The 27838-nt window shown below is 37.5% G+C and overlaps 1 protein-coding gene and 1 pseudogene across 1 annotated transcript in view; one reads left to right on the top strand and one right to left on the bottom strand.

Moving 5' to 3' along the window:
• Window positions 1–27838, top strand: part of TMEM74 (transmembrane protein 74) — a 180745-nt gene that overhangs the window by 115279 nt on the left and 37628 nt on the right. Inside the window, exon 2 of the transcript NR_136411.2 lies at window positions 16879–17023. The gene's annotated coding sequence lies outside the window, so the exon portion shown is untranslated. The remainder of the gene's footprint in view (window positions 1–16878; window positions 17024–27838) is intronic.
• Window positions 174–26670, bottom strand: LOC124902049 (uncharacterized; annotated as a pseudogene).

The following is a 27838-nucleotide window of genomic DNA, read 5'->3' as shown; positions in this document are numbered from 1 at the left end:
GACACAGCCTGAGGTTCCTAGACTCAAGCCATCCCCTACTGTTAGGAACAATTTTTTCTTCTTTTCCTCCCCATAAAAATGGGTTCACTCTTCTTTATTTAGTCTAACAGAAGGATCCATGTACTAGCACTGCCTTAGCTTTGCTTGGCTTCAGTTACACAAACTAACCACACTCAGTTGGACGGCAACTGCCGTAGCCGTGTGCCTGCCCGCTCCAAATTCATGAGTGGAGTTTTTCCACCCACAGTGTCAGGTACAAGATCTGAAATAAGGATTAAATTCTCTAGTACAAATAAGGGGAAAATTTAAATGAAATAATACTTGTGCTAAGCTTAAGTTATACCCAACTGCTCCCCATACAGAATAATACTAAAAGCAGGCAGGTTTTCAATTGATTAATCACTGTCATCCTGGCACTAGGCTAACTTCCTTACATATATTATCTCATTTAACACTTTACCTTTTATGGAAGGCAATATGGAATTCATCTATAGAGTAATTTATCAAATTCTTAACTGCTTGAATATATTTCTCTCTTACTTTTTTTCAATCATAGTTTGTTTTAATCTAGTTGAGCTGTTGGTCCTCCCCTCCATTTGTGGTCCCTGAGGGCTGTCAACTCCCTGTTGCCATGAAATACCAATTACATACTTCCAGACCACTAATCTCTCTCCACCCCACCAGCTTTCCTGCTCCTGACCACAGAGTGACAACATCAGCTGCACCATGCCACGGAAAACAGGACTCAACATTTTCGGAGAACCAACTCAGCTAAGAGAGCTTCCTGAGTTGTGAAAACCCTCTTAACACATCAATATTGCATGAACCTTAATGTCACCTGCTTTTCTTTTGGGCACAGGGGTCATTAGCCATGTGAACATCTTCAGTCCAACCACAAACAGAAACAGGACAGTTGCTTTTGCCCCAGGGGGCCTTCTAACCTTGGCAAGAGGGTGGTACAGCTCCATGGGCAATGTGGCAAAGTGAAAATCCTGTTGTCTTGCCACATAGAAAACCAAGATATTGTGGGAGCTTGAGCTAGTATTTAACTTTTTGGCTCTATTCTAAGCCAAATTGGAGGTGCCTTATAAAAACAGTTGGATAACTCCTAGTCAAACACTAAAGAAAATATTTCCAAGAGTGAGCACTGGCCATCACCAGTCCCTACCTATAGTTTAGGTGATGTATTTTGCAACTGCATTCAACCAAGTTTTGTATGAACCCTCATCAGGTCTCAGCGTTCTTCCCTGATTCAAAAACCACTGAGAGGACTAATGAAACTGTATTTTTCCAACTGTATACTCACTTTCAAAACATCATATCACTAAGCATAGGTATGATATTCTCAACTTCTTCTCTAGTGTGCCTTTTTATTATTAATGAGCACAATTGGTCATTCTTGGAACTTTGATTCGCTCTTATGGGGATTTTGGAGTTTAAAACAGAACATAAAGGTTTATAAATCAATTACTTTCTGATTATTTTCTTTTTTCTTTTTGTGGTTTCCTTCTTTTTCTTTAACCTAAAATTCATTGCTGGGTCCTAATATTACGGTGAACATGGGATGAAAATAGATTCTGGTAACATGTTACAAACCGCCAAATTCATCCATCTTTCATGTTTTTCTGTATCCTGACTTTCCACAAAGATGTCGTATATAACTATTTTCAAGGCTTCTTAATCTGTTTCTGAAGAGCCAGTTTTATTAAAGATCTTGTGGGGAGTTGAGAAGCAAGTAAAGAAAGTATCAAAATAAATCACTACTCTCTTCATTTGTTTTTATAATGGGGAAGTGACATCATATGGTGCATTAAGACTCAGCCACAACCACACAGCACTGCAGTATATGGGAGACTCAGTATCAAAATTCCATCGATGATCTAAAGCTCTCACATACTGTGATACACAACACATGATACTGGATTAAACTAAGACACTCCTTTCTTTCCAAAGACATTGCAGGGCAAATCATTCCCTAAGCAGGTGGTGCTTCTGACCCAATGCCTACTCAATGTTCTGAAGTAAAAATATTGAACACAGCACTAGAATTGGCTATTTGTTCATAGGGGAACTGAAACTGGAATAAATCATGTACACTTTTTATTATGAAATAAAGAAAGGACTTTTGACAGCAGATCAAATAATTTATCCAGATTCAGAGTGAACATTTTATTTATACTTCTACTATACTATGAATAGTTTTCCTGAGTACAGAAAAAAAATGAATATAAAGAAAAGGAATTAAGCCATTCATTGCCTTTTTTTTTTTTTTTTTTTTTTCACAGAATCTTACTCTGTCATCCAGGCTAGAGTGCAGTGGTGCAATCTCGGCTCACTGTAACCTCTGCCTCCCGAGTTCAAGTGATTCTCTTGCCTCAGCCTCCCCCATACCTGGGATTACAGGCATGCATCACCATGCCTGGCTAAGTTTTGTAGTTTTAGTAGAGATGGGGTTTCACCATCTTGACCAGGCTGGTCTCGAACTCCTGACCTTAGGTGATCCGCCCACCTCAGCCTCCCAAAGTGCTGGGATTACTGGCGTGAGCCACCATGCCTGGCCCCATGCACTACTTCTGAAGAATGCTGTATTCTCTCATTCTGGAGATGATTGTCACTTCCCTCTGATTTGTGACTGTCAATGATAAACTGACAATGGAAATAGTCAAGTATATAAACTTTCCTCTGCTTTCAAAAATCTTACTTAAAATCTTATTAAAATTTGAAAACAAAGCTAATATCTTATTGTTCTAATCAGAATCTGCTCAGAGTCACCAGTTATTTCCACTTACTACCAAGAATTGAAGGATATGATTTTCTTCTACTCCTTACAGCATATATGCAAATATCACCAGCCCAAATTTTCTCTGCATTTCAGCCCAGAATAGAAGGTGAAAGCTTTGGGCTCAGTAAATGTTTTAAATGACTAAAAGGGCCACTAATGATGACCTTTTCATTGTAACGTGCTCGGCAGGATAACTTGTGTGTGTCCTCCTTATATCCGCTCCTTCTTGAGCAGGCTGCAACCCCAGCCTCAGCGACTTTGGCAAAGTCTTAGGCAGAAAGAAAGAAAATAATGCTTTGAGGGTCAGGAAGTCAGGCAGAAAGGAGAAGTTACGTATTTGATAAACTGAAACATAACCTGAAAAACGAGAGAGATCTATAAGTCCCCTAAGTATTGCCTGCATATGCTCTAACAGCAACCTAAGAAAGTGGCAAGACTTCAAAGGGGGAATGGTTGAGTAGGGTGTGTAAGGAGCCAAGATCTCAGGCACCAAGATTCCCTGGTCATAAAAATCTTCTGTGCCCAAGTGCAGCACAGAAACAGCAGAACTTCAGACTAAATTACAATGTAAACTGGATTAATGTTGTAACTGCAGTTCAACTGTGGCAGACTACTGACCGATTATCTGAATAAGCTTCTCCAATGCTTTAGGACCAAGCAGAAACACAAAGTTCTGGAGGACGGGAAAAAACAGTCATACCAATGATGAAATTTGGAGTCTCAAGATTGACAAAAAAGTTTTTAATGTGATATTTTTTGTATAAATATGTTTATTTTGCTTTGATAAGAGTCAAACTTCCCCGATATATCAGGTGCTGTTAACATAACAAAAACCCAGTACCCAACTATGTATTCTTGAAAGTCAGAAAAACTGGTTTCTTTCCTTGCTTCTACCTTGGGTGTGTGCTTTGACCTTAAAATAAGTCACTGAAGTGTGCTCAGCTTCAGGTTCCTTATCCTTAAAATGGGAATAAGTGTAGCTGTCAGGCTTATCTCACAGGGCCAGTAGACACAGAATTACCAATAGTAGTAGTAGTACCAGAGTTAGAGCTGGTGCTATTGTTGCTGTTGTGGCTTATTTTGTTATGACATGTCATGAAAATGGTATAACTTCCCTAATAACATTAACCAATGACTATTATTAATACAATAACTGATAAACAACATAGTTTCTCTAGCTGGAAAAGGTAAATGTTGCAGATAATATAAATGTGCCTTTATATATTAACTTATGTTTTGATAAATGTATTAAGCCATAACTAGAAATCAGCTTTGAGGTTATATTTCTAAAAGAGGGATAATTATAAAAAGCTCTTTGAAAAATCACTTATTAAATTTATGAACATACTGAGGAGATGGCTGGTTGATTTTTTATCCTGTGAGTAATATTCAAATATGGGTAGTTTGCCTTTTAAAGGACATTCCAATAACCAAATTTTAGTGGCAAACTGATTTGAAATAGAGCATGGTATCTTAGCCAAGCAATATTTTTGCTTTAAGTCAGGGAAACAAGAGCTGTAGAACCAGGAAATGTGGAGGAGCATGGAAAATATTTAATCAAGAGTTATTCCACTACAGGAAAATCACTGGTGTCCATAAAATGAAGCAGATGACAGCATTGTTCTGCTTCTTAGTATTATGGGAGGAGGTACTAGGCGTTCAATTTCGTTCATTTAAAGAGGGGAAAGAACAGAGAGCAGAATGCTGAAATCTGGCAGGGGATGGGGCTGGGAGGGTGTAGGTAGGCAGTAGGGAGAGGTGTGGAATCTACATAACATTCCAAAGATGAATTAGAGCTAGGAATTCTACTTTTATAAACTATGCAGACAAAGGAGAAATGATGAATGAGACCATTAAAAAATATCTAAGGGATCTGAATTTTACCAGTCTATAATTTGCAAAACCTTGAAATTCCCTTTATCATAACTATATTATCATGGAAAATCCTGAAGTCAGTAAGTAGTTCCTACTACCCAACTAATAAGTTACCTATTACAACAATAATCCAGAAATCTATATTTAAATGTAGCAGTGAAACGCTTCCATTATCTTTGGAGTTTTTATTTCCTATTAGTGAAAAAGAGTGACTCATCAAAAATTACTCAGTAACTGATGATCATTCTAATTAAAATCTAAAGGTAGCATTTGTATTGTTTAATTCACATGCATTATCATATGACGGGAAAATACATCATTTTACTATAATATTCTATCTTGACCAAAAACACTTAACAATCTTATGTTCATTTTTTCTGCTTCCCTGAGATATTGGTCAGTCTTATGTGCCTACTCACAAAAGTGGAATAACCACTTGTTACACAACTGGGACTCATACTCAGCATACCAGGACAAGAGTCTGTTTTTAATCTAGATCAACGAGATTACAGCCACTGTGACCCTGGCCACTTCGAAAAGCACATAGATTCTTTTCATTGCACACACACACAAATCAATCTATGTTGGGAAATTAGACCTCTCCTTGCAACTATCATTCTGAGAAATAGGCATTGTTTCTGTGGGAGAGCAGGATGAACCTAACTATTTTAAATGGATGATGTAAGTAGCCCATTAAAGATGAACCAAGATTGTACTAGAAAATAAGTTTGAACAAAAATCATCAGAGTTAATGCTGCAAAATGGCCTGAGTTCATCTGCACTGAGAAGTGCCACTTGGGCTGAATTATTTATAATGCTAAATTTCCTCATGTGGTAAATGTAATGCAGTATTTGGGTAGGATTCTGTCTGGTCGGTTAGTTGCTTTTAAGCCACTGGGCCTTTAAAACCCCAATGCTCTTAAATCTGGGCCAAGAGATGGGATGTGACCACATTATGTCTTGTAAAGTCTGTATTAATCTCCTTTTTCTGTTGTCTAATCTCCCATCTCTCAATACTAAGATGATGAAGAGTAGATTAGGTAGTCACACTATAAAGCTATGCAGGGGTACATTAGCATGAGTCTTGTAGTAGATTACACGAGCAAAAGAAAGTCCGTTACATCCACTCCTTTGTCCATAAGCTGGGACAAAGCATTTTATTTGACTGCTGCCCTTAAAGGGGTCCAGGAAGCCCCCTGGTGGGGAACCAAAACTAATATTCAAACCATACTCCAGAGAATCATTACCAGTTCTTGTCCTTGACTTTGACGCTTTTAAATTCTTTTAGGAATTATTGCCAACACGTGCACTGTAATCACTCAACTCGTAGTTACTGTGGCTCCTAAGCAATGATTAGCTTTTAAGCAAACGAAGTCTATTAGATTAATCTTAGATAAACACCTATGTTGCCAGCTGATTATTGGATAACACACAGAATCTATTTCTGAAGGTGGTGGCTTTTTGGAAGACTATATCACCAGGCTCTCTCTTAAAATAGCTTTCAATTGGAGAGTTTGGATTCATTCAGTCCAAATAAATGAGACCTGTGCCTAAAAGTTCAGTTATTCTTATTATTTAAATGTTTCATTCTGTGGTGATTTTGTCTCCCTCCACAGTCTTCTATTCAACATCAAGGCAATAAAAACAAACTTTTAAAAAATTGTTTTGGCAATGTAAGTAAATCAAAATATTTACTTATTCCTTATGCATAGTCTAATTGAATGATATATTCTTAGCATTACCCCTGTCTTTCATATATTAACAGACATTTTGCATTATTGGTTTTGTGCTGCAAGCATATTGTTTTGAATCAAGTATCCTTTAGAACAACTTCTCCATCTCTTTGTACATGTCTGTATCAGCAGTTAAGTCAGACGCTCCAAAATAGTACTGTTATCTATTCAATAAAGAAGTATTAAGCCTTTGCTGTTCCTTAGACTCTGCAACCCTCTTCTCTCTTTCCATCTTGACTCCAGTCTGCACACTTAGACAACCACATTAGCAAGGACCAATCTTAACTTTAGGCATACTAACTTTAAGCATCTCCATTTACCATTCTTTGACTTGATATCTTTACCATTTTTGTTAGTCCAGCCATTACTTTCTTCATGCATATTTAGTGTCTGAGTTCTTAGGCTATTTATGTACTCAGAAATCTTTGGAAATAAAACCTTCCTTGCATTTTTTAGTTCTCTACTGTGCTCTCCTTGTTGTAGGCAAAGGGGTAGGGCCTCTGCTTCCTGCTACTCTTTCTCCCTGATGCCCATTTCTCTTATCCAGGATTCCAGATTATCATTTGCTCTCACACTCCCTATAACAAGGCTATTTTCCCAATTGAAATAACAATTCCCTCATTAGACAACTTCTTCACCCATCCCAGACTGCTGGACCAGTTACTGTCTGTTATATAATAATTCAGGTCGAAGTTATTCCTCTCTCCTGTAAATGAGTCTGTTTCTGGCACAGAACATGCACATACAGTAGGAGAGGCCAATTTCAAATGCTGTAACCTCTCAACTTGGCTTGTTCCACTGTAATTCACTATTCATAGTAAGTTATATCTAACATGCAGGAGAAAACAAGGATATCAAGGTATGTGACCATTGGCAAGAGAGATAATCGGTATAGTTTATCAAAAAAAAAAGCTTTAAGTTGGATCAAACCAGGTACAATTTTCACTTGATCTCCTTGTAATCTAGAGACAGCTTAAGTATGCAGACTGTGTTTGGTCAGGTATCTATATCCTTTTTCTAATTGAACTCCATTCAGGTGAGAAGTAATATTGTAGAGTCAAAATAGCGGAGACACAAACATTAGCGGATCTATGATCTAGACCTGGCTTTGCCACTTACTATTACCCTCACATTGAGCAGGTCTCTTAACATCCTCTACTTGTTTCTTCTAGGTTATATGGGGACAATAATATTAATTAGCAGATACCTGTAGGCCACTGAATCTTTAAGACTTGGCTTTGGTGAATTAGAAAAGCAAGGAAGAAATTCCTGGCCAGAGAAATCAGGCAAAAGAGAGAAATAAAAGGCATCCAATTAGAAAGAGATAAAGTTAAACGTTCCCTGTTTGCAGATAATATGATTCTATACCTAGAAAAACCCATGTTCTCTTCCCAAAAGCTCTTTGATCTGAAAAACAACTTTAACGAAGTCTTGAGATACAAAATCAATGTAATCAATGTACAAAAATCAGTAACATTCCTATGCACCAACAACATTCAAGCTGAAAACCAAATTAAGAACTCAATACTATGCACAATAGCCACAAAAAAGAATAAAATATTTAGAAATACAGCTAACCAGAGAGGTGAAATAGCTTCACAAAGAGAATTACAAAACACTGCTCAAAGAAATCAGAGATGACATAAACAAATGGAAAAATATTCCATGTTCATGGATAGGAAGAATCAATATTGTTGAAATGGCCAAACTGCCCAAAGGAATGTACAGCTTCAGTGCTATTCCTATGAAACTACCAATGACATTCTTCACAGAATTTGAAAAACCTATTTTATTTTATCTTTTCTTCAACTTTTAAGTTCTAGGGTACATGTGCAGGATGTGCAGTTTTGTTACATAGGTAAATGTGTGCCATGGTGGTTTGCTGCACAGATCAACCCATCACCCAGATATTAAGCCCAGCATCCACTAGCTATTCTTCCCAATGCTCTCCCTCCCTCTGCTCAACCTGAGAGGCCCCAGTGTGTGTTGTTTCCTCTGATGTGTCCACGTGTTCTCATTGTTCAGCTCCCACTTATAAGTGAGAACATGCAGTGTTTGGTTTTCTGTTCCTTTGTGAGTTTGCTGAAGATAATGGCTTCCAACTGCATCCATCTCCCTGCAAAGGACATGATCTCAGTCCTTTTTATGGCTGCATAGTATTCCATGTTGTATATGTACCACATTTTATTTATCCAGCCTATCACTGTTGGGCATCTGGGTTGATTTCCTGTCTTTGCTATTGTGAATAGTGCTGCAATGAACATATGCGTGCATGTATCTTTATAATAGAATGATTTATATTCCTGTGGATATATACCCAGTAATGGGAATCCTGGGTCAAATGTTATTTCTGCCTGTAGGTCTTTGAGGAATCACCACAGTCTTCCACAATGGTTAAATTAATTTACATTCTCACCAACAGTATAAAAGCGTTCATTTTTCTCCACAACCTAGCCAGCATCTGTTGTTTCTTGACTTTTTAGTAATCGCCATTCCGACTGGCATGAGATGGTGTTTCATTGTGGTTTTGATTTGCATTTCTCTAAATCAGTGATGTTGAGCTTTTTTCCATATGTTTGTTGACCGCATGAATGTCTTCTTTTGAGAAGTGTCTCTTCATGTCCTTTGCCCACTTTTTAATGTTGTTTTTCTTGTAAATTTGTTTAAGTTACTTGTAGACTCTGGATATTAGAGTCTTATATCCAGACCTTTAAGTATTAGACCTTTGTCAGATAGATAGATGGAAAAAAATTTCTCTTCCTCTGCAGGCTGTCTGTTCACTCTGATGACAGTTTCTTTTGCTGTGCAGAAGCTCTTTAGTTTAATTAGATCCCATTTGTCAATTTTTGCTTTTGTTGCTATTGCTTTCGGCAGAAAACCCTATTTTAAAATTCATATGGAACCGAAAAAGAGCTCGAATAGCCAAGGCAATCCTAAGCAAAGACAACAAACCTGGAGGCATCACATTACAACTTCAAACTATACTACAAGGCTACACCCCATGTGAATAGAGTTCCCCCATGTTCTACCTGTGGTAAACAGGGTGAGTCAGAGTACTGTGGGAACACAGAAGTAGGGCACCAACCAGGTCTGCAAGGATTGGAAAGACTTCCCAGGCCAGGTGATGCCCAAGCTGCTTTTCTTGAGATGCAACCAGATTCCCCAGAGCTTTTTATGCATAAATTGTGGGGTCAAAACAGAGAAATCTCACCTTCTAACTACAATAAGCTGGTCTCTAAGGAACCTCAAACCCTAATGGGGCACACAGGCCTTCCCTAATCTCATCACTGCTTACCACTATAGTACATAACTGGGCATCTATGGAGCCAGGCTGACCATGGTAATACATCCAGAAGAAAAACTCTAAGTCAAAAAACATTGATAAGCAGGGTAGTTCTACTAAACTCTTTGTGGAAAAACGAAGGGCATTATGTAACACAATACACAAGAAATCTTAAAAACCTCAATAAGAGCAACTCCCTTTCCTTAAAGTTCTCATGTCTGTAGTAGTTGCTGCCTTTCCTGTTCTCTGTCTCCTTGTTTAATGTCTGTCTTTCAACGAATGTCTCGATCTCTGTCTCTGTTTGTTCCCTCACTGCCTATCTGTTTGTTTTCTCTCTAGGTGTCCCTACCTCTCTATCATGTGTCTCTCACTATTTCTGTCTTATGTGTGTGTTTGTATGTGTGTGTGTTTTTCCATCTCTCTTTGTCTCTCTCTTTCCCTCTATCTCCACCACCTCCTCAACTTTTCCACCTGCTTATTTCTTCATCCTGACTGTGGAAGGCTCTATCTCCCAAATCCTTTGTTCTCCCAATGGGTCTATCCATCTTTTTTAGCGTATAAGGTAATCTTCAGCTGCTTTCATTTTCCATCTCTATCTTTCACCCCACTGTAAAAAGAAGGACTGTTATCTCTGAAATCCACATTTCGTAGAAAATCAGAGATGGAAAATTGTAAATGCTTATAGTTGTATCATCCTTTTTCACCAGTCTCATCTGTTATTATTTCCTTCCTTTCACTCTCCTTATAAGGAATAGAGAATTTCTTGCAATTTCACAAACTCCTTCCTCCTTAGAAGGTCCTTTCCAGCTTGTCTAACGTATGACTTCCTCCTGTTCCCTGGCTAATTCCCATTCTTCTTTTAAACACTAAGTGTCACCTACCCAGAAAGGAGGCTGCCCCGTTCATTGTGGAATCAGACATTGATTTAGTGCTTCCAGAGCCTTCTGTGCTTACCCTTACAGCATTCATCACACAGATTAGGAATTGTTAATAGGGTTTAATGTCTTCTCCGTAAGACATGGTTTCATAGACATATGAACCCATGTACTTTCAGTGCCTGGTTCAAGCTGCTGCTCCATAAACATCTACTTAATGAAAATTGAAATTCTAAGGGATAAGAGTGATCCATGCCAATTTCCATTTTCTTTGAAAGATTCCAATCTTAAATTGCAAACAAAAAGACCAATGTGCCATTACTGATAAGCCTCTCCATCTTTCTCAGATGACCTCAGCAAAGATAGAAAAAAAAAAAAAAAAAAAAAAAGAGCTGCAAGGGAGAGGAAAAAGATAAAAGACCAGGTTCAGTGGCAAAAATCACAAAGCAATTCTTGCAAATCATAAACTAAAAACATCTTGGCTGCATAAAGCTGCTTTTAAAGCAGAGTCGTATAATTTAAAAAGATCATTTGTACAAGGGATGCCATAATTTTGGCCAACAGTTCTCTTACCACTGATTTAAGAATCTTGGAATAGGTAATTCCAAGGAAAAGGCTTAAAGTAAATGAAAATATATTCAAATTATAATCAAATGAAAATGCTACAGAGGAGATGGTTAGGTGGAATTTTTTTCAGGTCCCTAAATTTAACCATATGAGATTATTTTACAAGTATCATCCTAGTCAATCTCTGGGAATGGATTTGCTTTTTAATACTAAACCACATTTCATCACATGGATGGATCCTAACCTCCCTTATTTAGTTATTTCCCTTGATCACAGATAATTTTCCATGTTATATATACAGCATATACATAACATGATGGTAACTTTTTCAGACTTGGCAAACTGGAGCTACAAATATACAAAATAAGCAACGGTTAAAATCTGTTCTCTTCTCCCAGTGAACTGAGTTACCTGCATGAAATACTCTCTGTGGGGATATTACGGCTAACTGTTTCACAATGAAGTATAACAAAAAGATGAAAAAGGGGCAGGTTTATGATGTGTGAATGATGTGTTTAAGTCATTTTATAGACAAGCTCTCTGTAAGGCAGAACTATCTAACTGTAGGTTTAAACAGTATCACGTTAGGTATTGTTTAAATCTTATTTACCTGGACAATATTATTGATGTGTTAATTACCCAAATGCATACAGAGTTTCTCTAAGTGTCAGGGACTGGGTAAGGTTTCTGCTATGGAGTTGAGGGTGTGAGTGAAGTTTTGGGAAGGTTGAATACCAAGAAGAAAAATAAGACTTGGCATCTAGCCCAGAGAAGCAGACAGTTAAATAAAGGAGAGAGACTTGTAAACTTGCAATTCAGCAAAGAGGAAAACAATGGCCCATCTGGGCCCATTCAATGGAAGGAATCTTAACCATCAAGTTTAAGATAGGCCTGCCAAGGATGCAAAAGCTGAGCTAGAATATTGGAAATGAGTAGGGAGTAGTAGAGAAACTAGCTAGAATGGTAAGATTTAGGAGAAAGAATTGCCAGTCTTTGATGACTGGTGAATGAGTGGGGTGGGAGAGAGATAACATCTAGATTTCTGCTTTGGAAAACAAGTAGGTCCTGGTGTGCTGCAAGTTGTGTTCTTTGGAAGCAGATGCCAAAACAAAGACTGGCATGACAAGTATTTATTAGAGATCAAATTCTGTAGAAGGAAGGCAGAGGAAGCGGGGTTAGGTGGAAGGAGAAGATGAATTGCAATGCAGGCCTGATGCCTTGGTCAATGTCTCAGGAGCTCTGGGTAGCATACGGCTCATCAAAGTTGTCCTGAAGGGAGCTGAAATGGCTGGGGCTTTGTGCTCTCACTGTACTGAGTAATTGGATGTAGACCAGTCCAGGAACGGCATGGTCTTAGGTGAGATGGCTCTCTGAAGCTGTGGAGAAACCTGTGGGAGCTGACAACTGAGGCTGCTTGCTGACAACATTCCCAGCTACTGGATACAAGTCCTCCTTGAGGGGTATCTGGGCAACACAGGTTGGAGCAGGAAGTGGTTTGAGTGAATATAGAGTTCTATCTTGGACATATTAAGACTGAAAGACATTTAGCCAGAGACAACCTGTAACCAATTAGTTGTATAAGAAGTCTTTGAGTGCTGGAGAAGAGTTTCGTCCAGAGACATAGATCTTGGAATTACCAATATTCGAGACTAAATTGAAGCAATGGGAAGCTAGGCAAGCTCACCCAGGCATGTAAAAATGGCAGAAAAGGACCAAGACTGGAAGCCAGGAGAACACCAGCTTTTCTGAAACAACCAGAAAGAAAGGATATTGACAAGGTTTAAGAGAGAATGAGAATCCAAGGAGGATCATTTCATAGGAAACAAAGAAGGAAAATCCTTCTAGGAGGAGACATTGGACAGGAGTCAGCACTTGCCTTAGAAAACTTCAGTAAGACAAGGACCCAAGTGTCCAGTGCATATGTGTGTCTGTATGTGTGTGTGTGTTAGTGGGCTATCTATAAAGGCCACACCTCAGGATCAAACCACATCTTACCTCAGCATCTCTATCTCCCTCTGCCATCTTGTCCTTATCTTTAGTTTTGAAGGAGAAATGGTCTTTTCTCCATATTAAATGTTAAATTACTTGTTGGTTTATCACATTTAACTCCTTTCTTTATATATTTTTCTTCAGTTGGCTATTTCTACCAAGTCTCCATATTTTCTGCCTTATTGTGACAGATCTGCCCTATAGTGGCAGGTGGAAGCCGTGGTAAAAGTAAGTTTAGCTTGATGCCATCTTCTAGCTATCATCGGATTTCTCTATTTTCTTTCATTGATTACTTTTCTTGTATCAGGGGTATATTTCTATTATTTTTATTTCCTCTCCATTCAATCCTCACCACTGAAATGTTTATTCTCTTGAAGACTGTTAATGATAACTACCTATGTTTTTCTAATCTTTGTATTCAAGTTATTAGGTAGTAATCATAATTTTGGCTTTACAGTTGAGGCTCAGAGAGATTATTTGATTTGCCAGAGATTACAACATTACGAAGAGGCTCAACCAGGATTCAGATTGGCATTTGCTTGGCTGCAAAGCTTTCCTAGAACAGCCCACTGCCTTTCTCACATTCAGGACTATTGATAAATTCAGAGATCTTTTTTCCTCATAATCCTTGTCATCAGCTGCATTTGATATTTTGGCTTTCCTCTTTGTGGAAGACATCTGTTTTTACCAGTCTGGAATTATTTTCTTCTAAATTGGGTAAGAGTATCCCAGTTTTCTCTTTAGAGACCCACTCATTTCTCTCATTTCTAATGTGTCTATCTCAGCACATTAGGGCTGGTCTCAGTCACTCCCAGATCTAGAGGTAAGCACATGACATAAAAGAAAGCAAATATAATAAGGCCAAAAATCCTGTGTATATGCCAATGTTCCTGATTATTTTAGGTACCCCATTCCTACATAACCCTTATACTTCTAGGTGGAAAGACTGATGTACCAGTTTGAAACATGGACTTGCTGAAACTAACAACTACTTGTATGATTTGCTGAAATCCCTGTCCTCTTTCCACTGTACCACGATGATCCAGTGTTTGGCTTAAGCTCATAATTCCAATACAGGCCTTAAGCTCATAATTTGTATGGCCAGCAGCCACCAGGAATGAGTCACAAGCTGGTCAGCTTGTTCTCTGCGATGATTTGGGGTCTTCTCATTTTCCTTCTGCCTTGTTCTCATTCTCTATGTGGTCTTAGTGTCTACCAGACTCTTGTTCCTTCAAATTTTAATTTATGCTGACTTCCACTTCTAAAAGTGATAGACCTTGGACTTCTCGAAATATATATATGTAATTAATATATATATATATATATATATATATATATATATATATATATATTTTTTTTTTTTTTTTTTGAGACGGTGTCTCACTCTGTCACCCAGGCTACAGTGCAGTGGCACGATCTCAGCTCACTGCAACCTCCACCTCCCTGGTTCAAGCTATTCTCCTGCCTCAGCCTCCTGAGTGGCTGAGATTACAGGCACACATCAACATGCGCAGCTAATTTTTGTATTTTTAGTACAGATGGGGTTTCACCATGTTGACCAGACTGGTCTCCAACTCCTGACCTCCTTTGCCTCACAAAGTGCTGGGATTACAGGGGTGAGCCACCGCGCCCGGTCCAAAAATATTTTTTATTGTCTATTTCTTGGTTTAGTTGGGGTTTGGGGTTGTTTTCATATTTTTACTTCCAACTAATTCTTCCCATTTCTGGTTGCTTCAGAGCACTTACAAACCCAAGATCCAGCATCCAGGAACCCAAACATAGCACTAATCCATTTGGCCAATACCCAAACTTGTTATGCTGGTGCTTCAGAAGAGGAGGATCAGACAATTTTCTGAATTCACATTTACCTCTCCTGCTTGTAAGCAAGAGTCTCAGGGATGAGGACCAGGTCTGGTTAACTTTTGGTTCTCTCAGTCCCTGAATAACACCATGGTAGTTATTGAGAACATCTTGCTATATTAAGCTGGTTGGACCCCATATGGCTTAGGATTAGAATCTTAGAATTTCAGTTTTTAACTGTGCCAAGAATTCTCCCTCTAACCTGGAATGACTCAATATTTCCCTTACATATAAATTAGGGATGCTGATTGGAATTGTCTCAAAAGACTAATATTTTCATACCAAAAAGTGAATATTATAAAATGCACTTTATGACTATTACATAATAGAGAAAACCACAAAGAAAAGAGGTTTACATTTGTTATGATTTCTCAGCTTAATTTCAAATTTTATCTTTTTTATAAAAATGGCTTCTGGAAAAAATTTTTACCAGAATTTGGAAGTTTTCATTCAAGTTCAATATGAGAAAATCCTAGAACAGTAGAGAATCATATGATATTGGACAAGATCTAATTTTCCAAAGAAGGAAGCAGAATTTCTTTTGCACGTTTCTAGTCTTTTTCTACTTTTTTAGGTGGTAGTTTCTTCTTTATTTTGTTACCTACATGGCAAAAATAGAGAACAAAATGTGTGACCACAGGAATTCTAAGCTGAATTTATGATCGTGAGAGAGGTATGCTTAGGCATCACTGAGGGATGTACTTTGGTCTCTTCGGGACAATGAAGTCATCCTAAGAGTGGTTATGTCTTGTCTTAATGAAATCATAGGAAGATTTCTATCTGAAACTACCACAGGTAGAACAATACATTTGTGAAATGATAGTTTTCTTCAGTGTATGAGGTTACATATAGTGAAGAGTAACTCTATGTGGAAGAAGATATTGAAGTTCGAATGGACTATTAAATAAACCCCCTGGTTTTCCCTCTTGAATCTAAATCAATTGAGATGGGCAAAGGAGTGAGCCAGATGAAGATCAAAGTAGGACTCCCAGGGAACATGTGACAACAATGAGCTTCCCGATTATGAGCCCTGAACTAAGCAAACTTATTCACCCACTCACTGTGGGGGAAGAAAAGCAAGTTTACAACCTTTACCACTAAGATTTCCATATGGTCCACTAGAGCAGATTCTCTGCAGGCAGGCAAATCCCAAAGACCAAGGGGAGAAGAAGGAGCTACACTTGCCAGATTCTCCTTCGAAACTCACCAATCTTGAAATTAGTCTGCCTCTCCTGGGGACGAAAGTAAACCGCTGAGAGGGGAAAATTCCTTTTGAATGAAAAGAGGAGTGAGGAATAAGAGCACTTCTGGCCCCTATCAGCACCACCAAATGATGTGTGCCTGGCACACTCATGAGTGTGGGATTATAGGCATGAGCCACTGTGCCCAGCCTTTTTAAACTTTCCTATAGAAATATCTTTTCCAAAATCCTGGATGCTCAAAATGATATTATCTCAATAATGATACTTTCCCTAGAATATATTGTTTGATGTGCTATATTGTTCTACAATGTTTCAGTTCTTAAGAACCTTTCTGTTAAATATGATGGTAACCTTGTTTACTATCCAATTTATCATAATTTATATTTCTGATACTTATAATAACCAGCTGTGGCAGGAAAGACCTGCAGAAGATTTTCTTAGATGTTGATGCCTATGAAGAAGACTGAGAAAGAATGGCCAAGGGTGGGAATTGAGCCAAGAAGAAATTCTCCTGGAATCCAGCAGCTTGGGGGAGTAAAAGAGAATTTCCATGGAGGTGCATTTTCTAAGAACTATATTAAAAATTTTTTGCCATCAATGATTTTGGCTTTGCAAGGTCACTTTCTAAGTGTTTCTTTTTAAACGTACCACAGATCATTAAAAATTTGTCTTTTAACTTTCTTCTTTTTTTTTTAATTTTTTTATTTTACAGAGACATGGTCTGGCTATGTTGCCTAGGCTGATCATGAACTCCTGGGCTCAAGCTATTCTCCAAACCTGGCCTCCCAAAGTCCTGGGATTCCAGCAGAGAAGATTCAAGAAGATTCCAGAAGTGGTCAAGACATTGATGTTAAACAGTTAAGTAAAATAAGGACTGAAATACATATTTGCCTCTGGCAAGTAAGAAGTTACTGCATGCCTCAATGAAAGTAGTTTTAGCAGAATGGTGGACTGAAAGCCATTTATAATGGGTTCAGGAGTAACTCATCTGTGGAAATGGAAACTGCTATTATGAAATGTAGCTTTCCACTTCTAAAGATTTACTTATGAATATAAGGAAAAAGAAAGTACAAGATTTTACAAGATATGTTAGGTCAAAGGAAAATCGATGTTCTTTCATAAAAAAATGACTACCAATCTAATAAACATACTGAAAACCTATAGTAATTAGTACATTACTGATGTATTTCTACATAATGCTATCATACGATAAATTACAACTAATTTCTGTGGTTCCTGTAATTAGACCATACAGTATACGATGGAACTAAATGTGATGAAAAACAATATATACAAGAGAGTTCTGCATGCACCAGGAACTTTATCAAAGGCATCCTGGAGGGAGTAGGGCTTGGCCATTCCTTAAAATTAGGTGGAATATAAAAAAAAAAACACTTGGTAAAAAGGACAAAGATTTTTCAGGATGGCAAGAAGGAATAAAGGTATTGATTCAGGCATAATAATTAGAATGCAATTTTTATTTTTGAAAAATTCTTCCCATTGCCTTTTCCTCTTTCAGAGGCCCCAAACCATTGCTCAGCTTCAACCCTGGTCTTCTCCTTCTTCTTGAAAAGACTCCCAACCCTAGAATTATTAGTCAAACTAGACATGGGTCAGGGTGGAGAAAATAAAACAGATTGAAGTGGTTTATGTGTTTTTTCCCTTTCTTTACCTAAGAACATATTTATAATATATCACAGGCAGTGATTACTATGTATAAGATACTAAATAAAGCACTTTTTCCATATTAACTAATTTCTATAATTTAATCCTCAGTATAACCCTATATGAAAAGTATTTCTATTTTGCATTTTACAAATAGGAAAACTAAGACACAGACAAGGTAAGTAAGTTACCCAAGGTTATCCAGCTAGTAAGTAGCAGACCTAAGATTTAAAACTAGGCAGTCTGGTGCCTGGGCCTAAGCTCTCAAATGCTTTTCCTCTGCTGCCTTTATCCTTTTTTCCATCTTTATTGTTATTTTCCACTAAGTAAAAGTAATGCAAGCTCAAGATCTAAGAAAATAAAAAATAAATAAATAAAATCAAAAGTATGCTGTCTTATAATGAAAACAATGGTCCCAAACCCCTCTACCTTCAACCACTGTTTGCTTTTTAATATTTTTTATTTATGTAAGTATGTTTTAATGTAAATTGTATAAGCAATACATCTTTATATTATATATGCACATATTCTGAAAGGTAAATACAAACACGACAAAATTCCCACCTACCCAATGGTACAGACATTTTAGAAAATTGACAAATAAATAGCAAAAGCCTCCATGCTTCCCACCTATCCCAAAGCTAATCATCAATCCCAATTTGTGTAATTCATCTTCAGAAAAAGGATATTTGCACATAACCAAAATAGATGTATCTATTGTTATACTTCTTTAAAAAAGCACAACAGAGTAAATGAATCATCTTTATGCACTGTGCTGTGCTTTGCTTTTTTCTTATATAATGATAATTATTTAATTTTTATACAACAATAATTATTTATTATTTAAACAATCTCTAAAGAGTAGATGTTTCACATATAATGATATATGTACAAAAGATGAATTAAGACACATCCAAAGCCATGTGGTTTTGGGCTAATTCCTTGTTACATAAACTTTTTTACTTAATATAAATACAAGTACATCCTGTGAACTAGGAAGTATGGGAGATAAAAAAGAGTACAAAATGTGGTCCCTGTCATTAGTAGCTTATTGTGAAGATCCAAGAAGATGTCAAGTAAAGGCAAGTGTGTCACTGCCACCCTCTGCCCTGTTCTTTGGTCAGGGCCTCCAGCGCTTTGTTCTGCAGCTGCAATCTTAGGCCCATCATCCCACTGTGCTCTGAAGAATATAACTTTTTTGGAAGAAATTCCTGTCTTCAATGCTTCAGGCCAGTTAAGAGTCTCAAGTGGACAGAATATCAAATACTTGATTGATGGCCAGCATCCCTAAATGAGAGTTATTTCCACTCTGGTGTCTGGTCATGTATCCCTGGAATGACAGACAAGTGGGCTGTCCTGAAAGAGTATTCCTGGGCCTTTTGAAATGTCACCTTCTTCTGAATGCTTTCATCCACAAGTCCATCAAAGATACAAACTTCGTTTACATCAACATCTTCAAGAGTGTATTCTAAGTTAGGAGTCGGGAACACAAGGCTTTCCAGAGGAAATAAACTAAAAGAAGTCTTCTTTTATGTCTAGCAAGTCGCTAGAAAATTCATCTTCGCTCTTCACACAGGGCACTGTCTACTGTGAATCCAGTGAGGCAGATCCAAAATGGCCTATTAGATTTCATCTGAACCATACAACCTTCATATCTGTCCAGCCAGTCTACTCAATTCCTTCTTTGACATGGGGTGGGTCATACTCAAATTGATACACAGCCTTTGTCCTGAGTGTTTGTCTTCCAAAAGAATCTCTTTGCTTAGAGATCTCAGAAAATATTTGCTGTGTTAGGGGCAGATTCCTGGATTTTCTGCACAATTGGCTTTTCTTCTTTCTTTTTCTTGCTTTCTTTTGCCTTCTTTACTGCAACTATCTTTTCCCAGTGTCTCTGTTTTCTCTGGATATTTTTCTTATGATACCCAGAAAACCAAATTGTTTGAGAATGAGCACCATCCTGCACTCTGGTGGTCAGGGTCTCTCCCTCCTGGCATTTGCATTCTGCATCAATCTGCAGAAACTGAAAGCTCTCAGATATTTTAGGTATTCAGATATTTCAGATATTCCAGGTGACTGTGTTCTAAGCACTCCCTTCTAATTCCCAGTCCATGTGCCTAGTCCACTTATCCCATCATGCACTTTGCTTTTTTCAATTGAAAATGTATCTTCAGTATTTTTCCGTGTCAGGACACACACATCTACTTCCCTTTCTTTTAAAGGTTGCATGATATATAGTAAGATTACACTATAATTTACTTAACCAATATTTGTATATATTGATGGATACTTTTAATGTTTCCATTTGTTTTAATTTTCCTGTTGTTGCATTTTTCTTAGATTTGTTGTGAAATTGAAAGAGTTAATGCGAGTAAAAAATGTTTTTTCTTTCTAGCAAAAATCCAATTATAAAAATCTAACAAAAACAACTGTTCATAGAAGTCAAGACCTAAATATGAAGAAGACTGAAATGTGGCATGATTTTAAGTAGTTAGTAGAGTGTCAGCAAATATATTGACTTTTGCACTAGGATTTTTTTTTTTTTTAGCGACACATGGTCGTAACACTGGGTGTATAAGGAAGTCATTGTAATCTCAACGTACTCTCCAGCTCACCAGTGAACAGTTCTGTGTATAACAATGGGGAGAGGAAATGGGTGAACAGACTGATGCAATGCATACACATATATCAAAAAAAAATAACTCTTCTCCTTTTAGCTTTACTTCTCATTACTGCTGTTTCTCCTTGTCAACTGGGGGTCCACATATTCTCTAGGCACCACCAGGAAGATAAGCTGACAGTGCCCCAACCACACACATACACACACACACCTCAAAGCTCCCTTCCATATATTCTGAGCTATAGCTGCCTCTACTCCTCTGCCTCATCCTTCATCTTGCTCTCATCCTCTTTCTAATTTCCAGATATTTTTTAAAATCTCATTTTGTCTTCCAGCCTCCTATCTTTCCTAGGCATTCATTCCATCTTGTGTTTCTTTACTGTAATTTTCATAGAAAAATAGCCTAAACTGGAAACCACAGAGAAGATATTTTTAAAGAGATTAGTGATTGTTAATTACAGTTATAGCCTAAAGACTATATTCAGATGAAAGAGAGGAAAAACACAGGAAATTCTGAGAATAACTGATGAATCAGTTCCTAAAGAGGGCAGTAAAGTTGGATTCAGCATGTAAACAAAGTTCTTTAGCAAGGAAAAAAAGATTCATTCATTTCAAAATTCTTTACTGAAGTTCTACTATATTCCAGCAATGTCATAACCACTGCAAAGTATAGTGGTACTTTTTTTTAATCCCATTTTTATGGATCTTGCATTTTAGTTGGTGGAGTCAAACAAAATGAATATACAGAATGTTAGATGGTAGTAAGCGCTATGGAGAAGATTAAGACATAAAAGGGAGATACAGAACGGTGTAGAGTATCAAGCAATTTTAAATAAAGTGATTAGAATGCCTCAGTGAGCGAGGTGTGGTGGCTCACGCCTGTAATCCCAACACTTTGCGAGGCCGAGGTGGGCAGATCACCTGAGGTCAGGAGTTTGAGACCAGCCTGGCTAATATGGTGAAAACCTGTCTCTACTAAAAATACAAAAATTAGCTGGGTGTGGTGGCAGGTGCCTATAATCCCAGCTACTCAGGAGGCTGAGGCAGGAGAATCTCTTGAACCTGGGAGTCAGAGGTTGCAGTGAGCTGAGATCATGCCATTGCACTCCAGCCTGGGGGACAAGAGCAAGCCTTCATCTAAAAAATAAATAAATAAATAAATAAAAAGAATGCCTCAATGAGAATAAAACATTCAAGCAACAATCCAAAGTAAGTAAAAGAAAAGCCAGGCAAATTTCATGGAGAAGACTGTTCCAGGCAAAGGGAAGAACAAATTCAAAGGCCCAAGGCCAAACAAGGCCAACATAGTCAAGGGACAACAAGGAGATGGACAACTGAGGAGAATAGTGGGCTGTGAGGTCAAAGAGGCAATGGGGAACCCAATGGTATGGAGTTTTATAGGCCATTGCAAATACTTTGGCTTTTGCTTGGCATGAAATGAGAACACAATAGATAGTTTGGGACAGAAAATGTAATCTGATTTACATTTTTAGCAGAATAACTCCAGATACTGTGTTGAGAATAGATTGCAGGTGCACAATGTTGGAGGGAGAAAGAGGATAAATTAGGAGGTTATTGAAATAATCCAAACAAGAAATGATAATGACTTGGCTGGCATGGATAACTCCAAAGTGTGTAGCCTAAAGAGCTGGAGGGATGTGAGTTGCCATTACCTGGCATGGGGAAGATGATGGGACAACAGATTTTGGTAAGGAAGATCAGTGAAGTTTGAAAAGCTTATTGGATACCCAGTAGAGATGTTTCATAGGTAATAAGAAGTATGAGTGTGGTTCAAGAGTTCAGGTTAGGCTGGAGATATAAAAAGCATGCAGCTGATAAATATTGACTCATTTTCCCTTATACAGAAAAGAAGGATGGATACTACTGTGGGAAGTTTTATAATGTAGGGAAGGGAAACTGTTAATATCTGATGGCCTCTATTTTGTCTATGAAAGCCGAGGCAAAATAATCTACTCAAAGAGAAAAGGTTGAGGCTGTTAACCCGCATTTAGTGAAAAAAATTGCCAAGCAACATTGAAGGCTCCACTGGACTTGAAAACCCTAAGCCACAGCCACCTGGCTACTGAACAGTGCAGAAGTAAGACTGTGTAACTACCAACTAAAACTACCACAAACTTAGGGTTTTCAGGGAGATAAAGGACGTTAGGATTAGACAGTGCAGGGTTAGATACCTGGTGCTACTGGCTGCTTGTCTGGTGTCAGATATCAGGTTGGTGAAAAGTAATTGCGGTTTTTGCCTTTGAAAGTAATGGCAAAACTGCAATTACTTTTGCACCGACCTAATAAGATACTTAACCTTTGAAATCTCAATTTTGGCATTTGTAAAGTAAAAATAACAAAATCTACCTTGCAGAGTTTTTGTCACTATTACTAAACATAAACATAAGTTTTCCAGAGCATCACAAACAATAAATAAGAGTTATTGTTACTTCTCATATTACTGTCTTTCCTACTTTTTATTTGCCATCTAGTTTTCCCTCATCTCTTTTCAATTCTGCTGGCATTTATTGAATACTTATTGAATGTCATGTAAAGCTGAGTGCTTTATAAGCATTTTTGCATCTGAGTCTCAAAGCAATTCTCTAAGCTAAGTACTATTATTATCCCATTTTTGAAGATGCAGATACTGAAATTTAGAGACTTAAGCAACATGCTCAAGATGAGACTTCTAGGAACATAATTGCTCTTTGAAAGCAGAAACAAGTTCCCAATTTCTGCTGCAGGGTCTAGTTCATTACTATTCAGACAACAGACAACCAGGTTGTACTGGATGAAAGAATGGATGAAATCCTCATTTGGAATCTCAGAAGATGTAAAGAACCCACGTAAAAGTCCATAGGAGAGTTAGAAAATGACTATTTTTAAGTAGCTTAATATAAATACTCTTTTGCTTTATTTTTTATTTTGAACTTGTAGATCAGTGTATTGTTTAGCGGTTCCTGTGTAAGAAATCACCCCGAAACGTAGTAACTTAAGACCAAAACTGCTTGTTATAGTTTGTATTTCCTGAGGGTTCTAAATAAAGATCAGAAGTCTAACTGGACTAAAATTAAGATATCCACAGGACTGTATTCCTTCTCGTGGCTTTAGAGGGGAATCTACTTCCTTGCCTTCTCTAGATTCTAGAGGCCACTTACATTCTTTATCTCATGACTCCTCCCTCCATCTTGAAAGCCAGCCATATACTATTTTCAAATCTCTCTATGACAGCTACCCTGGCTTCCATTACCCCATCTTCTCTGACTCTGAGTCTCCTGTCTCCCTTGTGATTATAATAAACGCACCAAGATGATCCAGGATAATCCTCCCATCTTAAAATGCTTAGTCATATCTTCAAAGTCCCTTTTGCCATGTAAAATAACATATTCACAGGTCCTGAGGATTAGGATATGGACATCTTTGCGGGGTAGTGAAGCTAATTTTGCCTCGCACAGACAGCTTCTCTTACCTACCTGGCAGTTGGCAGATTGTCAGCCCAGATGCCTCAATTTTCCTCCATGTGATCTCTCTTTTCCCCTGCAGGCTTGCTCATGCTCATAAAAACATAGTGGTCTCAGGCCTTTAGCTCAGAAAGAGGCCAGGCTCCAATGCACAAGCAGTTTCCACATTTGCTTATGTCCTTTTGACCAAAACAAGTCACATGGCCACCCCAGACTCAACAGGTAGAAAAATATACCCCACCTCTTTATGGGAGGATTTGTGACATCACATTGTAAGAACCTGGATGCAAAAAAACGGGAAGAACCTGTGGCTATTTTTCAATTTACCAAAATTAACATAATATGTGAGTGAGAACGTCTAAGGCCTTCCCTCTTTGATTGGAATAACTGAGGTCTTTGCATGGCTATTTCCCTTGCCTAGAATGCTCAAAATGCATTATCTTTTCCTGGCCAAATTGTTTACCCCTTTCTTATTATAGCTTAGATATGTATACCTCCAGGAAAATTCTTCTAACCCCAAACCCCATAGTGTTCCTGGTGCTTTATTTTAGTGTTCTCATTATACTAAGTACTTACCCCTAATATAGCACTTAGCGCTCTATATTGAAATCACCTGTTTATCTTCTTGCCTTTCATCCTAGACCATAAGCTTCTTTTGGGCAAAAAAATGGCTCTTAGTTTTTCACACTTTCTCTGTGACTTAGCAATGTATCCTGTATATAGTAGGTTAAAAAGGTTGTATTGAATACATGTATTAAGAAATATTCTATAAACTCTGATTATAGAGTTTCATTTACTCGTTTATCCCTCAATTGCTACTAATGTTTTTTTAAAAATAGATTTCTTTACTTAGTGAATCTTTAATCCCATACTTTTTTTTTCCTACTTTAAAACCTAGCCTTTCATTGATCAGCTAAACAAGAAAGGAAGGAATTTCTAGTACTAAACATTAGTCATAGAAAAAGTTTTCCTTGGAATAAAAAGCTAAATTGTGATTTTGGTACCTCGATAATACAAATTGGTTGTGTGACATTTACAAAATCCACAAATTGCTGCCAAGGATGCTGATTTGCCAAACTAGACATCTCTAAGGCTGTCTTCATCTGGGTGGCCAGTCAAAATTAGGAGCTCAGGGATAACTTGACTGATATTTCTTCAAACTAAAACCAAAATAAAAGCTGAGGTATTTTGGGATGTTTCCAGGAAGGTCTTAAGAGGCTGCCTGATTGCTGTTAATACATAAGGCAGAAGGCAAAGATTTCCAAAATTACATGACTCAAGGGCTAAGACTCCAGAACTGCAGACACAACATGAGTAAGCAGACCACTCCAAATTGCCAGTGGAATTAAGGAATTAAAAAGGAGATGGTGAGTTACAAGAAACAGAGCTTGTTTGGGGAATGGATACTTGGTGTGCCTGTAACCAAGAAAGCCAGCTATAATACAAGCTAAAATGAAATGTACAGATGTTTAATATAATGAAATAACCAAGGAGGAACCCACCCCTGTGTTATTCTCCAATGTAATATGTAATGTTCTATAGAACATACTTGGAATATGGGTGGTTGCCCTGGCCATTTTTTAGCTCAGGTAATGATATTTTTATAACCTGAGTTATGAAGGACAAAAATATATAAAGACAGCATTGAAGTCCAAAGACAATCAAGTTAGCTAATGTTTAAATATCTTGAGAGTGTTTCTATGCCAATGTTAAAACTGTCACTGTTAATGCCTGAATATTTTGCAGAATCTCAGTTCATTAAACTGTAAAACAGATCACAGTTTAACAACAATAACAACAAATTCTAGGCTTTTTGAGAAAGATTCTGAATTCCAAGTCTGTAAGCAGAATATACAATAAAAGGCATATTCTTGTCTATTTGGAACTTATTCATGAACTCACCCATGCAAATTGGCTACAGCCTATACATTGTCACTAATTTTGAAATCTTGCATTTAAAACTCAAAGACACAATTCATTTAATCTTGGTGACAACACTGAGAGGTGGGCATTATTATTATTATACTCATTTTTCAAATGCAAACTTGGCACAAAACATTTAGCTAATTGTCTAAGGTTATATAATTATTGTATAACATACTTGAATCTAAGCAGGTGATTCCTAAACCTATTCCCTCAACCCAAGCACTACACTGACTTTCTTAAAATATACCATGTCACTTGTCCTAAAGTGTATATTTAGCATGGATACACATGGAGAATTTTGAAACATCCTAATACAGTCATTTCAATTTAACAAATATTTCTTGAGCCCATGTTAAGTATGAAGTTCTTTATTAGACTCTTTCCAAAAAAAAAAAAAAACTTCGTGAACAATATATATCAAGTGGTTTACTGGTTTTATAATTTCTCTTAAAATAATTTTATAATTGTCTCATTAACTAATAGAGGCAAGCATAAATCTGAGCCCACAAACTTAGACATGTAGGAAATAATACTTATTCATTACAATTCAACCTATTTAAATCATTGCCATAGCTTCCCTGTGTTCACCTAGCAAGAAACCCTTTCTGCTGTGTTGTTCTCCTCCTCCAGCATTGTCAGGGGCTCAGTCTTACATCATACCAGATTCCTGGGGATGGGGATAAATTAATCCCTTGGTTATCTCTTAGAATGTCTGAATGTCCATTTCCACAACTTGTGTGGCTCCTGTAAGTCTGATTCCTCTGTTGTGTCTGTGCTCCATGTTTTGGGTAAGGGAATGACAGGCAAGGCTGGGAGCCCTCAGACCCAGAACCATTTTCCTTTGATGCCCCATTTTTGCCATGTTTCTTGGACATGATCTTGTCATGTCTCTAGTACATGATCATGAAATGGGTCAAGCTTCTCCTCTGATCACAGATTTCTGATCACTGACCCCAGATTTCTCTAGCACAACCAAAATTTCTTCTTTCTGCTAGATCTCAATACCAATACATGCAACTAGTATATTGCATGATGCTGAGGTTTAGGGTGTGACTGATCCCATCACCCAGGCACTGAGCATAGTATCCAAAAGTTTTTCAGCACTTGCCCCACTCCTTCCTTCCCATATTGTGGAGTTTCCAGTGTCAATTTTACTCATCTTTGTGTCCACGTGTACCCAATGCTTAGCTCCCACTTATAAGTGAGAACATTTAGTATTTGGTTTTCTGTTCCTATACTAATTTGATTAGGATAATGACCTCCAGCTGAATCTATGTTGCTGCAAAGGTCATGATTTCATTCATTTTTGTGGCGTGTAGTATTCCATGGTGTATATGCACCACATTTTTTTATCCAATCTACCATTGATGGGCACCTAGGTTGATTCCAAGTCTTTGCTATTGTGAAAATAGTACTCTGATGAATAAGTGAGTGCATGTGTCTCTTTGGTAGAATGATTTATTTTCCTTTGGATATATACCCAATAATCAGATTGTTGGGTCGAATGGTAGTCCTGTTTTAAATTCTTTGAGAAATATCAAAACTGCTTTCCACAATGGCTGAACTAATTTACACTCTCACTAATAATATGTAAGCATGCCCTTTTTTCTGCAGCCTCACCAGCATCTATTATTTTTTGACTATTTAATAGTAGCCATTCTGACTGGTGTGAGGTTTTACCTCATGGTGGTTTTGACTTACATTTCTCTAATGATTAGTGATTTACAGCATTTTTTTCATATGTTTGTTGGCCACTGTATGTCTTCTTTTGAAAAGTGTCTGTTCATGTTCTCTGCGCACGTTTTAACAGGGTTGTTTGTTTTTGTTTGTTGATTTGTTTAAGTTCTTTATAAAGTCTAGATATTAGACCTTTGTCAGATGCATAGTTTGCAAATGTTTTCTCTCATTCTGCAGGGTGTCTGCTTTGTCTGTTGACAGTTTCTTTTGCAGTGCAGAAGCGCTTTTGTTTAATTAGGTCCCATGTGTCAATTTTTGGTTTCGGT

This window comes from Homo sapiens, chromosome 8 (assembly GCF_000001405.40).
Source record: "Homo sapiens chromosome 8, GRCh38.p14 Primary Assembly".
NCBI lineage: Eukaryota > Metazoa > Chordata > Mammalia > Primates > Hominidae > Homo > Homo sapiens.
Note: the sequence above shows the minus strand (reverse complement) of the source record. Positions and strands in the feature narration are given on the sequence as shown.